Source organism: Homo sapiens, chromosome 7 (assembly GCF_000001405.40).
Source record: "Homo sapiens chromosome 7, GRCh38.p14 Primary Assembly".
NCBI lineage: Eukaryota > Metazoa > Chordata > Mammalia > Primates > Hominidae > Homo > Homo sapiens.
In genome coordinates this window covers 64,694,590-64,712,017 of record NC_000007.14, presented here as the reverse complement: position 1 = coordinate 64,712,017, position 17,428 = coordinate 64,694,590, and the positions used below count along the sequence as shown (strand labels likewise).

At 35.8% G+C, this 17,428-nt stretch overlaps 1 protein-coding gene across 9 annotated transcripts in view; it reads right to left on the bottom strand.

Moving 5' to 3' along the window:
• Positions 1–440: 440 nt before the first annotated feature.
• The window catches only part of ZNF107 (zinc finger protein 107), a 45,445-nt gene continuing 28,457 nt past the window's right edge, over positions 441–17,428 (bottom strand). For all 9 annotated transcript variants that reach the window (NM_016220.5, NM_001388025.1, NM_001388026.1 and 6 more), the window contains one exon: positions 441–5,694. In NM_016220.5, coding sequence (NP_057304.1) covers positions 3,362–5,694 — 2,333 coding nt within the window. In that variant the 3' untranslated portion in view covers positions 441–3,361. The remainder of the gene's footprint in view (positions 5,695–17,428) is intronic.

Sequence of the window (17,428 nt, the reverse complement as noted above, 5' to 3'; positions counted from 1 at the left end):
TCACGAGGTCAGGAGATTAAGACCATCCTGGCTAATGCGGTGAAACCCTGTCTCTACTAAAAATACAAAAAAATTAGCCGGGCGTGGTGCTGGGCGCCTGTAGTCCCAGCAACTCGGGAGGCTGAGGCAGGAGAATGGCGTGAACCCGGGAAGCGGAGCTTGCAGTGAGCCGAGATCGCACCACTGCACTCCAAGCCTGGGCGACAGAGCAAGACTCCGTCTCGAAAAAAAAAAAGATTAGTTTTGTTCCAATATTGCTCGTCTTCTGAAAATAGGTACAAGCTAATACACAAACACACTTACTTGCTCCATAATTTTCTCATACCTAAGGTTCATTTTTAGAGTAATATATGTGTATAGTTAAGTGTATGTAAATCAAAACTAAAATGCTGTATGTTTGCAGGCAGAGAGGTCACATGTTCAAAGAAAAATATATAACATTTTTTAAATGTTTATTCAGAACTCAGAATTTTCTCATGGTTTATTTATACTTGTATATAATTTTTATTATAACCATAAAATGACCCTGTAGTAACGACTGTACATTCTAAAGTATCTAAAAGTGCAGAATTGGTTTGTAATACAAAGGAGAAATGCTGGAGTTGATGGATACATCTTTTGCCCTGATGTGATTAATACATAAAATTATATGCCTGTATCAAAATATGCCATACATGGCATAAAGATATACACATACTATGTATCCACAAAAATTAAGAGAAATAAGTTTAAATTTTAAAAAGAATAAAAATCTAACCTATGGGAACAATATTCTTTATTAGCAGTTTAAAGTCACTAGCAAAAATAATTATTAGAGATGTTAGCCCATTATGTTATCAAGTAGTATACTGTTACCCTCTTTTACCTAAACCCTTGAGTAATGTGGGATAGGTAAAGTCAGTGGCATGAAAACACTTCATTGAATGCACAATAGTTTTAACATGTTAAAAAAAGTTTAATTAAAAAACTAAGTTCACGCATAATCCAAAAATTTTTAAACACATTGCATTTTATTACATAAAAGTACAAATAGTAAAATGATATACTACTAATTCACTTTAATTTTAACTAAGATTAAAAATGGTTTTCTCTTACTATAATGCAGAAGAATATTGCTCTGAAAACCTACTTCATGGATCACTCAATATTATAAGTTAAACACAAACAGCCTCTTCACTCAGGTTTTCATCATGCATCTTACATTTTAATGTCCTTATTCTTTCATAGAAAGTGTCATAAATAATACCGACCTAACAGAAATGATTTCTCATATCTTTGATGCATGAAAAATTAATCACATGCTTTCACATGTGAATACAATAGGAATGAAGAGCATGAATTTGAGTTGAATTACATCATTTGCTTTTCAAAAACTAATTTTTCAAGAAAAAATATAATTTGAATGTAATTATACATCTACAAAAAAATTCTACTTCTTTTAAAGTTATATACACATTATTTACCTACCAACTTTAGTTTTAAATTATTTTCTATACTCAGCATTCTGATTCTATACTCAGCAATGTCTGAAGTGTCAGTACCTTAGATATTTCTACTGTGAATTCTCTGATATTTATATAGACTTAATTTTGGATTAAATTATTTTTATATTTACTTCACTTGCAAAAATATATTTTAGTATGAGGCCTCTGGTATTTTCTAAGCTGTAGTTTTTTAAAAAATGTTTTCACAAATGCATTACATTTACAGTGCTTTTCTCCAATATAAATTTTCTGGTGTTGAACAACATTTGAGCAACTGCTTCATGGTTTTCCTCTAGTGCAAAATGGGTACAAAAGTATCTGTGATACAAGTAAAGGTACTACAACCCTCTTCGTATTTGTATTGTTTGTCCTCACAATGAATACTCTTTTTTTGTTTTGTTTTTGAGACGAAGTTTTTGCTCTTGTTGCTTTGGCTGGAGTGTAGTGGTGTGATTTCAGCTCACTGCAATCTTCGCCTCCCAGGTTTGAGCAATTCTCCTGCTTCAGCCTCCCAATTAGCTGGGATTACAGGGGCCTGCCACCACACGCAGCTAATTTTTGTAAAATTTTTAATAGAGATGGGGTTTTGCTATGTTGGCCAGGCTGGTCTCAGACTCCTGCCCTCAGGTGATCCACCCACCTTGGCCTCCCAAAGTGCTGGCATTACAGATGTGAGCCAGCACAACTGGCTCCTCTTCTTCACTTTAAAGGCTTATATTTTCTGAAAGATCTCTTGACAAAAATTGCATTTATAATGCTTTTATTACGTACTAACTCTCTAATGTTGAGTAAAATCTGAGCAGATAATAATGGCTTTTCCACATTCCTTGTATTTGTACAATCTTTCTGAAGTATAAATGCTTTCCTGTGCAATAAGGGGTGAGCATTTATTAAAAGTGTTGCCACATTTTTTACACTTCCAGGAGTTTTCTTCAGTATGGATTCTTACCTACAATCAAGTGTGACAACCATTTAAAGGCTTTGTGATATTTTTCACATTTCTAGGATTTTTCACCAGTATGATTTATGTTAGAAAGTTCGAGGTGTTGTCAAAATTATTGTCACATCATTCAGGTTTGTAAAGTTTTCAGTATTATCTTATGTTTAGTGAGGTTTGAGGATTGGTTTAAAGTATTGCCACATTATTCACATTTGCAGGGTTTCTCTCAAAGTATAAACTGTCTTATATGTAGCAAGGTGTGAGGACCAGTTAAAGGCATTGCCACGTTTTTTACATTTGTAGGGTTTCTTTCCAGTATAAATACTCTTACATGTAGTAAGAGTTGAGAATCAGTTAAAAGCTTTGCCACAGACTTCACATTTGTAGGGTTTCTTTCCAGTATGAATTTTCTTATCTACAGTTAAGGGTTAAGGAAGGTTAAAAGCTTTGCCACATTCTTCACAATTGTAGGCTTTCTCTCCAGTATGAATTTCTGTATAGTAAGGTATGAGGATTGGTTAAAAGCTTTGCCACATTCTTCACAACTATAGAGTTCCTCTCCAGTATAAATTATCTTATGTGTAGAAAGGTGTGAGGACTGATTAAAGGCATTGCCACATTCTTCTCATTTGTATGGCTTTTCTCCAGTATGAATTACCTTATGTTTAGTAAAAGTTGAGGATCAGTTAAAGGATTTGCCACATTTTTCACATTTGTAGGATTCTCTCCAGTACGAATTTTCTCAACTTTCAGTAAGGTTTGAAGATTAGTTAAAAGCTGTGCCACATTCTTTACATTGTAAGGTTTCTCACCAGTATAAAATACCTCGTGTGTGCAGAAAAAGTTGAAGACTTGTTAAAGGCTTTAACACATTCTTCACATTTGTAGTTTCTCTCCAGTATGAATTTTCCTATGTGTAGTAAGCTTGTAGGATCAATTAAGTTTTGCCATACTCACATTTGTAGGGTTTCTCTCCAGTATGAATTTTCTTATGTGTAGTAAGATTTGAGGATAGGTTGAAAGCTCTGCCATAATCTCCACATTTGTAGGGTTTCTCTCCAGTATGAATTATCTTATGTATATTAAGAGATGAGAACTGGTTAAAGGATTTGCCACATTCTTCACATTTGTAGGGTTTCTCTGAAGTATGAATTTTCTTATGTGTAGTAAGGTTTGAGGATTGGTTAAAAGCTTTGCCACATTCTTCACATTTATAGGGTTTCTCTCCAGTATGAATTTTCTTATGTGCAGTAAGGGTTGAGGATAGGTTAAAAGCTTTGCCACATTCTTTACATTTGTAAGGTTTCTCTCCAGTATGAATTATCTTATGTCTATTAAGGGTTGAGGAGCAGTTAAAGGCTTTGCCACATTCTGCACATTGGTAAGGTTTCTCTCCCGTATGAATTCTCTTATGTATAGTTAGGTTTGAGAATCGGTTATAAGCTTTTCCACATTCTTCACATTTGTGGGGTTTCTCTCCAGTATAAATTATCTTATGGTTAGTAATGTTTGAGAATAGGTTAAAAGCTTTTCCATGTTCTTCAAATTTGTAGAGGTTCTCTCCAGTATGAATTATCTTTTGTGTAGTAAGGTTTGAGGACTGGTTAAAAACTTTGCCATGTTCTTCACATTTGTAGGGTTTCTCTCCAGTATGAATAATTTTATGTATAGTACGGTGTGAGGACTGTTTAAAGGCCTTGCCAAATTCTTCACATTTGTTGAGTTTCTCTTTAGTATGAACTATCTTATGTCTAGTAAGTTGATAGGATTGATTAAAGGCTTTTCCACATTCTTCACATTTATAGGGTTTTTCTCCAGTATGAATTCTCTTATGTTTAGTAAGGGTTGAGAATCGGTTAAAAGCTTTGCCACATTCCTCACATTTATAGGGTTTCTCTCCAGTATGAATTTTCTTATGTTCAGTAAGGTTTGAAGACTGGCTAAAAGCTCTGTCACATTCTTCACATTTGTAGGGTTTCTCTCCAGTATGAATTTTCTTATGTCTAGTAAGGGTTGAGGATCGATTAAAAGCTTTTCCACATTCTTCACATTTGTATGGTTTCTCTCCAGAATAAATTTTCCTATGGTTAATTAGGTTTGAGTGTTGGTTAAAAGCTTTGCCACATTCTTCACATTTATAGGATTTCTCTGCAGTATGAATTTTCTTATGTTCAGTAAGGTTTGAAGATTGGTTAAAAGCTTTGCCACATTCTTTACATTTGTAGGGTTTCTCTCCAGTATGAATTATCTTATGTCTAGTAAGAGTTGAGAACTGGTTAAAGACTTTGCCACATTCTTCACATTTGTAGGGTTTCTCTTCCATTAGAATTTTCTTATGTGCAGTAAGTTTTAAGGATCGGTTAAAAGCTTTGTCACATTCTTCACATTTGTTGAGTTTCCCTCCAGTATGAATTTTCTCCTGTTTATTAAGGTTTGAGGATATGTTAAAAGCTCTGCCACATTCTTTACATTTGTAGGGTTTCTCCCCAGCATGAATTCTCTTATGGTTAGTAAGATTTGAGAATAGGTTAAAAGCTTTTCCACATTCTTTACACTTGTAGAGGTTCTCTCCAGTGTGAAGTATCTTTTGTGTAGTAAGGTGTGAGGACTGGCTAAAGACTTTGCCACATTCTTCATATTTGTAAGGTTTTTCTCCAGTATGAATTATTTTATGTATAGTAAGGTGTGAGGCCTGTTTAAAGGCCTTGCCACATTCTTCACATTTGTTGGGTTTCTCTTCAGTATGAATTATCTTATGCCTAGTAAGTTGTGAGGACTGGTTAAAGGCTTTGCCACATTCTTCACATTTGTAGGGCTTTTCTCCAGTATGAATTCTCTTATGTTTAGTAAGAGTTGAGAACCAGTTAAAGGCTTTTCCACATTCTTCACATTTGTAGGAATTCACTCTAGTATGAATTCTTCTATGCTGAGTTAGTTGTGAAAGCACGCAAAATGATTTGCTACATTCTTTACATTTGAAGTGTTTGTTTCCTGTATGTCTTCTCTTATATCTATTTGAATTTGAAAATTTATCAAAGACTTTCACATATTTATTACACTGGAATATTTTGCTTGGGGTAGCTGTCAAACATTGGTTAACTGTATTATGACCTCCTTTGTGCCCCGTACACTCATCCACATGTTTACAGCCTTTTCTTAACTGTAAATTCTCATATTCACATTTTCCGTATCTTCTCAGTGTCACTTTCTGGAAAGAATCTTTTATGTTCTGCTCTGGCCAAAGGTCTTGGGCAAAATGAAAAGACATTACTGAAAGAAATAAAAATAATAAATTACTCCACTTGCTAGACTCAGATAAATGTACTTTAAAATCTAATCTATAAAATTATACAAACTACATAAGCCAGATTGCATAGCAAAATACCACAGGCTCTAATTTCTTCATAGACATATAAATGTAACAAAAACATAAACACCAAAATACATTTGTGGAAAATTTATAAATGAGTTCAGTGTGTGCAGTGCCCTAGGTGAGCACAATGCAAAGAGCCACATAGAAGAAAGAGACAAGTCTGTTTTATTTACCCAACAAAGCTCTTTCTGTTCCCCAATATAACATAGTGCCTTTAGAAGTAAATTGCCAACTCTTAGTGTTTTTTTTTTTAAAGACAAGAAAAATAATAACAAACATATACATCTTTATTTCTGGCTTCTATGTGCCTTTGCAGATATTGGTTTCGGTCTCCCATGACATAGAGGGCTGAAAGAAATGGTGGTATACTTTGGAATGACATTTTGAGTTGCTGAGATCAAAGGTAAATGTTACAGCAGTGAAGAGACTGCAGTACTACAGACAGGTAACAGTTGTAGCAAGTGATTACCGACTATCAAGAAGAAACATGAACAAACTCTTTTAACTGAAAAAAAAAAAAAAAAGCTAGAAAATTTCAGACAAGACACATCTTAAGAACATGTCTGAAAGACTCTCAGAATCACTACTCAAGACAAATGGTTTCCAACTATGCCAGGACAAAGCTACATTATAAAGATTGTGATGGACAACTTGTTTTTAATTTCCAAATTTCAATTAAAGATTACAACGTATAAAAAATATTAGGGCAATACAGCCCCACAAAAATTATAAAATTTTCAGAAAGCAACCATTAAAAAATAAAAATGTACAAATTAATTTTAAAATTTTAAAGTAAATTGAATAACACTCCATGAGTGAATAGGAACACAAACAACTATTGAAAATCAGAAAAATGAGAATACCAACAAAAATATTAAAAATAGCAAAAAACAGAAATTGTGGAGGTAAAAATGCAAAAAAAACTTAAAAATATAAAAGAAAAATTAATGTAAAAATAAAGACAACAAACTAGAATACACACGAAGATATTTATAAAACATATATAAGCAAAATTTCAAAAGTCACAGACAACAGAATCTTGCGAACTGCAAGATGAAAGTGATATGTCATTTATAATAATAGGCTTATAAGATAGCCAGTGAATACGTCAAGAAAATTTTGCAGGTCAGAAGGGAAGTATGATATAGTCTAAGTGCTGAAAACAATAGCTGTCAAGTGAGAATAATACCAACAACTGTCCTGCCAAATAAAAGAAAAACACCTTCCAAAATAACAAAATTTGGCTGGGTGCGATGGCTCACGTCTGTAATCCCAGCACATTGGGAGACCAAGGCAAGTGGATCACTTGTGGCAGGAGTTCAAGACCAGCCTGATCAACATGGTGAAACCCCATCTGTACTAAAAATATAAAAAATAATTAGTGAGGCATGGTGGTGCACTCCTGTACTCCCAGCTACTTGGGAAGCTGAGGCAGAAGAATCGCTTGAACCCTGGAGGTGGAGGCTGCAGTGAGCCGGGGTCACACCACTACACTCCAGCCTGGGCAACAAGAGTGAAACTCCATCTCGAAATAAATAAACAAAAAACAAAATTCTGAAAATGTATTTTGGCACTGCCTATGCCCTACATATCAAAGATACTGAAAGGAGTTCCTTCCACTGAAAATAACATGATGCAAGAAAACAGCACATAATCATATGAAAATATATGACTTTCAGCCAGGCGCGGTGTCTCGTGCCTGTAGTCCCAGCACTTTGGGAGGCTGAGACGGGCAGATCACAAGGTCAAGAGATTGAGACCATCCTGGCAAACATGGTGAAACCCTGTCTCTACCAAAAATACAAAAATTAGACAGGTGTGGTGGTGCATGCCTGTAATCCCAGCTACTCAGGAGGCTGAGGCAGGAGAATCACTTGAACCTGGGAAACGGAGGTTGCAGTGGGCCAAGATCGCGCCACTGCACTCTAGCCTGGCGACAGAGTGAGACTCCATCTAAAAAAAATAAATAAATAACTTTCTGGGAAAGATATGCACATATACAAAAACAGAATTTCACAGCATTATCATAATGGCGCATAAAGCATTTTTAATTATTATCTAAAATGTAAAAAAAGCACAGGAATTATTATAAACACCTGCTAATGAATATACAACATATAAATATATAATTAACATCAATGACAAAGTTGAGGGCAGACGTAATGAATAAGAATTTTTGTATGCAAATAAAGTTGATTTTTTTTTTACTAGATTATAATATACTGTTTTATCTTGTAGAGGTTTTATGTAATCCCCAAGGAACCACAAAGAATATATCTGTGTAGATATACAAAACCAAATAAGAAAGAAAAGCATATAAATACAAAAATCAAAAGACACAAAGGAAGAAAGAAAGACAGAAAATAAGGGACAAAGATACAAGAATCAAATTAAACAATAACGTTAGCAAGTCTTTCTGTTTCAGAAGATTATTTAAATATATATATAATTCACTTTATTTAAATATCTATAAAATCAAGAGACAAACTTTTGGCCAGGCACGGTGGCTCAGACCTTTAATCCCAGCACTTTGCGAGGCTGAGGCAGGTGGATCACCTGAGGTCAGGAGTTCAAGACCAGCCTGGCCAACATGGTGAAACCCCATTCAATTGAAAATACAAAAATTAGCTGGGCATGGTGGTGGGTGCCTGTAATCCCAGCTACTCAGAAGGCTAAGATAGGAGAATTGCTTGAACCTGAGAGGTGGAGGTTACAGTGAGCTGAGATCATACCACTGCACTTTAGCCTTCAAATTATCTTTCAATCTAAACGTTTTGCTCCCACACAAAAATATGGATTCAAATATAACTAAATGTTGAAATTAGGAGAATTTTTATGACTGCTCACCTAGACAAAATTGAACAACCATTCACAACAAACCTGTGCCAGAAAAATACAAATCATAAAAAAATACAGGGATAATATTTATACAAACAGATAATTACATTGGCAGTAGACAATGAATATGGTTAATTCATAGTTGATTTTGCTCCACACTGTCTTAAATTGCAGAGTTAAATATTGTCATACACAATTAAAATATAAACTATCAAAATACAATTAACTGGTGTGAGGTGGCACATCCTAAAATATATAACATAAAAATATTAAATTGCAAAACAAAATTAAAGCATGGAATGCAAAACTTATCGAATGCCATCAAGTATGTCAATATATTCAAGAAAGAAATATTAGAAGAAGAATATAGAAAAAAAGTAATAGAAAGGTTACTTGAAGACATAAAAGGCGGATAACTTCCCAAATTTTGATGTAATAAAAAAATTTTAACCAGTAAGACTTAATTCAAAATTATTTTACTTCAAACACAAAATATAAATAAAGACTTCCCAAAAAAAGAGGTAGGCTGGGTGCGGTGGCTCACGCCTATAATCCCAGCACTCTGGGAGGCTGAGGCAGACAAATCACCTGAGGTCGGGAGAGTTCGAGAACAGCCTGACCAACATGGAGAAACCCCGTCTCTACTAAAAATACAAAATTAGCTGGGTATAGTGGCACATGTCTGTAATCCCAGCTACTCCGGAGGCTGAGGCAGGAGAATCGCTTGAATCTGGGAGGCAGAGGTTGTGGTGAGCCGAGATCGCACCACTGCACTTCAGCCTGAACAAGAGCGAAACTTTGTCTCAAGAAAAAAAAAAGTACATGAAAAATGAAATATTAATCTGTTAACAAATACACAATATAAAATAATTTGTAATATCAACAACTGAAAAATATAGAGGTTTAGTTTTTGTATTTAATTGAAGTTGTTAAGAGTTTAAAAATATTGGCCGGGCGCGGTGGCTCACGCCTGTAATCCCAGCACTTTGGGAGGTTGAGGCGGGTGGATCATAAGGTCAGGAGTTCAAGACCAGCCTGGCCAAGATGGTGAAACCCTGTCTCTACTAAAAGTACAAAAATTACAGTGTGCCTGTAATCCCAGCTACTTGGGAGGCTGAGGCAGGAGAATCACTTGAACCTAGTGGGGCGGAGGTTGCAGTGAGCCGAGATCATGCCACTGCACTCCAGCCTGGGCGACAGAGCAAGACTCCGTCTCAAAAAAAAAAATAAAACTGTTTTAACTTTAAGATGTTTTATGTAATCTCCATTTTTCATGACCATTATGAAAATATTTATAGAATGTATGAAAAACATTTTAAAAATAAAGTATGTCACTACACAATTAAAATTTAAATTGAAGAAAACAGAAGAAAAAACATCTACAGGAAACACATAAAACAATAATAATAAAATGATAATAGTAGCTTCATTTATTTAAACAATCATTTTAAATATAAATTAACTAAACTACTTAATAAGAAGAAATGTAATCCCAATATTTTGGGAGGCCAAGGTGGGCTGAACACTTGATCCTAGGATTACAAGACCAGCCTAGGCAACATAACAAAACCCTGTCTCTACAAAAAATACAAAAAATCTAGCTGGGTGTGATGGCACTTACTTGTAGTAGAGATACTTGAGAGGCTGAAATAAGAAGATTATCTGAGTTTGGGAGGTTAAGGCTGCAGCGAGTTGTGATTACACCACTACAAGCCAGCCTGATTGACAGAGTGAAACCCTATCTTAAATATGAATGAGTAAGTAAATATATTAAAAAAAAAAGAAAATACCTGAATGACTTAAGAAAAAAGCATACAATATGCTGCCTATAAGAGACTAATTTTAGGCCTGGCACAGTGGCTAACACTTGTAATCCCAGTACTTTGGGAGGCTAAGACCAGCCTGGCCAACATGGTAAACCCTGTCTCTACTAGAAAAAAAAAAAATACAAAAATTAGCCAGGCATGGTGGCACACCCTTGTAATCCCAGCTACTCAGGAGGCTAAGGCAGGAGATCACGTGAACCTGGGAGGCAGGGGTTGCAGTGAGCCAGCCTGGGTGACAAAGCAAGACTGCATCTCAAAAAGAAAAAAAAACGAAACTCATATTAGCATTGAGTCAAATAGGTTGAAAATATCAGAATGGGGAAAATATCTTTATTCTATGCAAATAGTAACCACAATTGGGTGAGGTAGTCATAATTATATTAGACATAATATGCTTTAAGTGAAGTATTAGCATGAGACAAAGATTGATATTATATAATAGTAAAATGGGTTAATTCACCAGGAACATGTAACTATTATATTTATCTATATGTACATGTATATATAACAATAGGGCTTCAAAATATATAAAGAAAATACTGACAAAAATGAAGCAAGAAATACATAGCAACATAATTGTAGACATCAAGACCCTATTTTCAATAACAGTTCAGATAAAAGATCAATAACAGCAAACTTAGAAAACATTATAGACTGTATTAATTTTTTTACATATAGAATAATACCTGAGAGCAGATAACTTATAAAGAAAAAAATGGCCAGGCATGGTGGCTCACGCCTGTAATCCCAACACTTTGGGAGGCAAAGGCGGGTGGATCACCTGAGGTCAGGAGTTCGAGACCAGCCTGGCCAACATGGCAAAACCCCATCTCTACTAAAAATACAAAAATTAGCCAGGCATGGTGGCAGGCACCTGTAATCCCAGCTACTTCAGAGGCTGAGGCAGAAGAATCACTTGAACCCAGGAGGCTGAGGTTGCAGTGAGCTGGGATCACGCCACTGCACTCCAGCCTATGCCACTGCACTCCACAGCCTGGGCAACAGAGGAAGACTCAGTCTCAAAAAAAAAAAAAAAAAAAAAAAAAAAAAGGTTTATTTGGCTTGGTTTGACAGACTGCACCTGTACAAGAAGTGCATGCCAGCATCTGCTTCTGGTGAGGATCTCAGGAAGCTTACGATCATGGTGGAAGGCAAAGAATAACTGAACATACACATATCACATGGTAATAGACAGAGGAAGTATGAGGTGAAGGAGCTAGTTTATTTTAATGAATCAGCTCTCATTTGAATTAACAGAGTATAAACTTTTTGATTACCAAGAGGATGACGCCAAGCTATTCACGAGGAAGTTGGCCCCATGGCCCAAATACCTGCCACCAGGTTTTACATCCAACATTGAGGAGTACATTGCAGCATGAGGTTTGCAGAACATGGACATGCAAACCATATTACAGACCAACTAAGCTTAACAGACATGTATAAAACTTTTCAGTCAAAAGCAAGAGAATGTACAATATTCTTTTTTTTTTTTTTTTGAGATGGAGTCTCACTCTGTCGCCCAGCCGCGGTGGCATGATCTCGGCTCACTGCAAGCTCCGCCTCCTGAGTTCACACCATTCTCTTGCCTCAGCCTCCCGAGTAGCTGGGACTACAGGCACCCGCTACCAAGCCCGGCTAATTTTTGTATTTTTAGTAGAGACGGGATTTCACCATGTTAGCCAGGATGATCTCGATCTCCTGACCTAGTGGTCCGCCCGCCTCGGCCTCCCAAAGTGCTGGGATTACAGGCGTGAGCCACCACGCCCGGCCGAGAATGTACAATATTCTTATTTGCACCTGGCGTATTCTGTTAGGAATCAAACCAAGTCTTATGAAATTTAAAAATACCAGTGAACTGCAGGAGCTCATGAGACCAACGTGGGAAGATTACTGGGGCCAGAAGTTTGAGACCAGCATGGACAACTTAGTGAGGCCCTGTTCCTACAAATAATAAAAATATTATCCAGACATGGTGGTCCCATAGTATGTCTGTAGTCCTAGCTACTCAGGAAACTGAGGTGGAAGAATCACTTGAGCCCAGCAAGCTGAGGCTGCAGTGAGCCAGTCATGCCATCATACCACTGCACTTTAGCCTGGGTGAGAGTAAGATCCTGTCTCAAAACAATGACAACAACAAATAAATTTAAGAAGACCAAAATCATACATTCCATGTTTTCTGACAAAACTGAATAAACCTACTAATTAAAAGCAAAAGTAAAGCTGGAAAACTCAAAAATATATTAAAATAAAACACACTGTTCAACATATTCTTGCTCAAGGGTAAAAAAATTTAATTTTTAAAAGATGTCAATATAACATACAGTGGTGAACAAATTCAATATAATTTTTATAAAAATCTTAATAGCACAATTTTTTACAGAAATATTATTTAAAATTTTAAATTTTTATTATAAACTATAACACCCATGGAAAAAAACAAAGAGGCATTATACTTCCTGATTTCAAAACAATTAAAAGCTATAATAACAAAAACAATGTGGTACTGACACAGACAGATAAACAGATGAAAGAACAGAAGAGACCAGAAATGAACCCATCTGTATATAATCAAATGATCTTCTACAAAGTTGCCACGAGTACAAAAGAGGGAAAAGATAATCTTTTCAAAAAATAATGTTGAGAACTGGATATCAACACTGATGAAATAAAGTTGGATCATTTCTTTGAACCATTCTCTTTGAAAATACAAAAAATATTTTAAAAAAATACTTAGAAATAAAAAATAACAAATCTCTTAGAAAAGAATATAAAGAAAATACATGACATTGGTCTTGGCATTACTTTCTTAAATACAACATTAAATGCAAGAGCAACAAGCCAGGCATGGTAGCTCACGCCTGTAATTCCAGCACTTTGGGAGGCTGAGGTGGGCAGATCACCTGAGGTCAGAAGTTCAAGACCAGCCTGGGCAACATGGTGAAACCCTGTCTCTACCAAAAATACAAAATTATCTGGGCATGGTGGCAGGAGCCTGTAATCCCAGCTACTGGAGAGGCTGAGGCAGGAGAATGCTTGAACCTGGGAGGCAGAGGTTGGAGTGAGCTGAGATCACACCACTGCACTCTAGCCTGGGCAACAAGAGCAAGACAGTCTCAAAGAAAAAAAAAAAAGAAAAATTCAACTATACTATATTTAAAATTAATGCACATCACAGACAACATTCAATAGAGTGACAACACCTCTTAGGAAATGAGTGAAAATATTTGCAAATCACATGTGATAGAAGTTAATATTACAAATATACAAACAACTCTTAAAACTGAACAATAAAGTTGAATTACTTCATTTAGAAATGGACAAATAATTGAATTAAATTTTCATCAAAAAAGATACACAAATTAGAAAACGCAACTGAAAGAACACAGTAAATTATCATTTGTAGAGAAATGCATAAAAATCACAATGAAAAACAAAATCACCTCACACCAATTAGAATGGCCATTATCAATTTTTTAAAGACACCAAATCTGTTGATGATGCAATAAAAATGAAACCCATATTGACTTCTGGTGAAAAACAAGAATGCAGCCATTGTTTTAAAATGTTATGTTTTACCGGCCGGGCGCGGTGGCTCACGCTTGTAATCCCAGCACTTTGGGAGGCCGAGGTGGGCGGATCACGAGGTCAGGAGTTCGAGACCACGGTGAAACCCCGTCTCTACTAAAAAATACAAAAAATTAGCCGGGCGTGGTGGCGGGCGCATGTAGTCCCAGCTACTCGGAGAGGCTGAGGCAGGAGAATGGCGTGAACCCGGGAGGCGGAGCTTGCAGTGAGCCGAGGTTGAGCCACTGCACTCCAGCCTGGGTGACAAAGCGAGACTCCGTCTCAAAAAAAAAAAAAAAATGCTATGTTTCTAAAATAATTAAAAATAAAATACTGTATCAAATAATAAATCCTATTTCTTAATCTATATCCAAAATATGCAAAACAGGACCTGAAAGACATATTTGAACATCTATGTTTATTGTACCAGTATTCACAAAAGCCAAAAGGCTGAAGGAACCCAGGTGTTCCTTTACTTATAAACACATCAAAAAATTTAACATATACATACAACAGGTGCTGGAGAGGATGTGGAGAAATAAGAACGCTTTTACACTGTTGGTGGGACTGTGAACTAGTTCAACCATTGTGGAAGTCGGTGTGGCGATTCCTCAGGGATCTAGAACTAGAAATACCATTTGACCCAGCCATCCCATTACTGGGTATATACCCAAAGGATTATAAATCATGCTGCTATAAAGACACATGCACATGTATGTTTATTGTGGCACTATTCACAATAGCAAAGACTTGGAACCAACCCAAATGTCCAACAATGATAGACTGGACTAAGAAAATGTGGCACATATACACCATGGAATACTATGCAGCCATAAAAAAGGATGAGTTCATGTCCTTTGTAGGGACATGGATGAAGCTGGAAACCATCATTCTCAGCAAACTATCGCAAGGACAAAAAACCAAACACTGCATGTTCTCACTCATAGGTGGGAACTGAACAATGAGAACACTTGGACACAGGAAGGGGAACATCACACACCGGGGACTGTTGTGGGGTGGGGGCAGGGGGGAGGGATAGCATTAGGAGATATACCAAATGTAAATGACGAGTTACTGGGTGCAGCACACCAACATGGCACATGTACACATATGTAACAAACCTGCATGTTGTGCACATGTACCCTAAAACAAAGTATAATAAAAAATAAAAAATAAATAAATAAATAAATCTTGTCACATTTTAAGATAAACTTTGAGAATATTATGTCACTAAAATAAGCTAGTAAAAAACTGATGGATACTACATGATTCCACTTACATGAGATAACTTAAGTAGTCACACTCATAAAAACCAAAAGTGGAAGGGTGTTTGTCAAGAGCTGGAAAAGGGGTAAAATGGGCAGTTGTTACTTAACGGGTATTGAATTTTAGTTTCACAAGATGTAAAATTTCTAGAAGTCTGTTAAATAACAATGTGAATATACTTAACATGCCTGAAATGAACAGTATATTTTTTTGAGACCAGGTCTCACTCTGTCACCCAAGCTGGAGTGCAGTGGCACAATTATCACTCACTGTAGCCACTAACTCCCAGGCTCAAGTAATCCTCCTCTCTCAATCTCCCAAAGAGCTGGGAAAACAGGTGCACACTACCATGCCTGGCTATTTTTTTAAAAAAACTGTAGGCTGGATGCGGTGGCTCATGCCTGTAATCCCAGCACTTTGAAAGGCCGAGGCGGGTGGATCAGGTCAGGAGTTCGAGACCAGCCTGGCCAGCATGGTGAAACCCCGTCTCTACTAAAAATACAAAAATTAGCCAGCCATGGTGGTGCACACCTGTAATCCCAGCTACTTGGGAGGCTGAGGCAGGAGAATCACTTGAACCTGGGAGGCGGAGGTTGCAGTGAGCCAAGATCATGTTTAGCTGGGCAACAGAGCGAGACTCCATCTAAAAAAAAAAAAAATTGTAGAGAGGGAATCTCCATATGTTTTCCAAGCTGGTCTCAAACTTTTGGGCTCAAGCGATCCTTTTGTCTTGGCTTTCCAAAATCCTGGGATTATAGATGTGAGCCACCACCATGCCTGGCCTTGAAATGTACACTTCAATAGATTTAAAACTGTATATTTTATGTAATGAGTTTTTACAACAATATTTTAAAGAAAAACTGAAAAAAATATAGAATTATAAATCTTTTCAAAAATTGCCTCAAATCACAAAACTGTTTCTCTCACACAAAGGAAATATAAATTCATCGTTAAACACACAGTGAAAAGATGATTTCCATGACTACTTAGACAAGCTAAAACCACCATTTAAAATCAGCTAAGAAAGAATATAAACAAGATAAGCCATAACCAAAATTTGGGTCATATTTATATATAAAACACGCACATATATAATCTGATTGTAATAGACATATGGCTAATTTATTTTTTAAACCCCACATTGACTTAAAAGTGTACAAACAGAATTGCAAATTATCTAAAATTACATAAATAAAACAAAACACAATAATCTGATGTTAAGAAACCTACACTGAAAAACCACACTAATATGGAACTACAAAACAATAAGAAAAATGTTTATTCATGAAATCTTTTTTGCAATATTGATGTACCATTAAGAAAGAATTTGTCTAGATAACTGCAATATTTAAGTGTGTACTCATGGAAGACAGGTATTTTGAATCACTGGCATGTGTTGTGTGGCAGTAAAAGTTCAGAGAAAATGCAGTATAATCATAAATAGAAGATGCTAATGAGAAAATTTTAATAAATGAGTATTTAAAAGGAAGTGGAGATAATTCTGATATTTAAAATATATGCTATTCTTACACAAAATAAAACTTCTGTAACCTTACTTTAGAAGCAAAGAATACCCTTACATTGCTAAAGAGAAAATATATGTGTATGTATATATATATTTATTTGGGTATGTAATATATATTTATATGTGTAAGTATGTGTGTGTGTGTGCACAGAATATGGTTAGAGTCTCTAATATATAAAAGTATTTGAGAATAAGTTATATTATTATTTAGATATAGGCTGAAGAAAGTGGGTGAAAATCCTATAATTTGTTTATAACGACAGCTAGCTCAAATTTGTAAGTAACTATTTTAGTAAATATAGAATGCCTACTAATTATCTAATTTATTTTAGGCATAACTTGTAAATTCTAGTACATTGCCCTAAATGTCTGAATCTGAAGTTATAGACAAATTTGAAGTAGAAAATAAAAAACAAAAATGTATACAGAGTGACATCAGTAAGATGGAAAAATAAAAGGTGCCCTACTTTCTTATATCCCAACAGCAAAAACATTTATCAGCCATCCCTGACCAAAAAAAATGTATTTATGAGAGAGCCAGGCATCATGTATCACACCTGCGATGACAGCTAAATGGTATATTCAGGTTGAAGAACTGCTTCAGACCAGGAT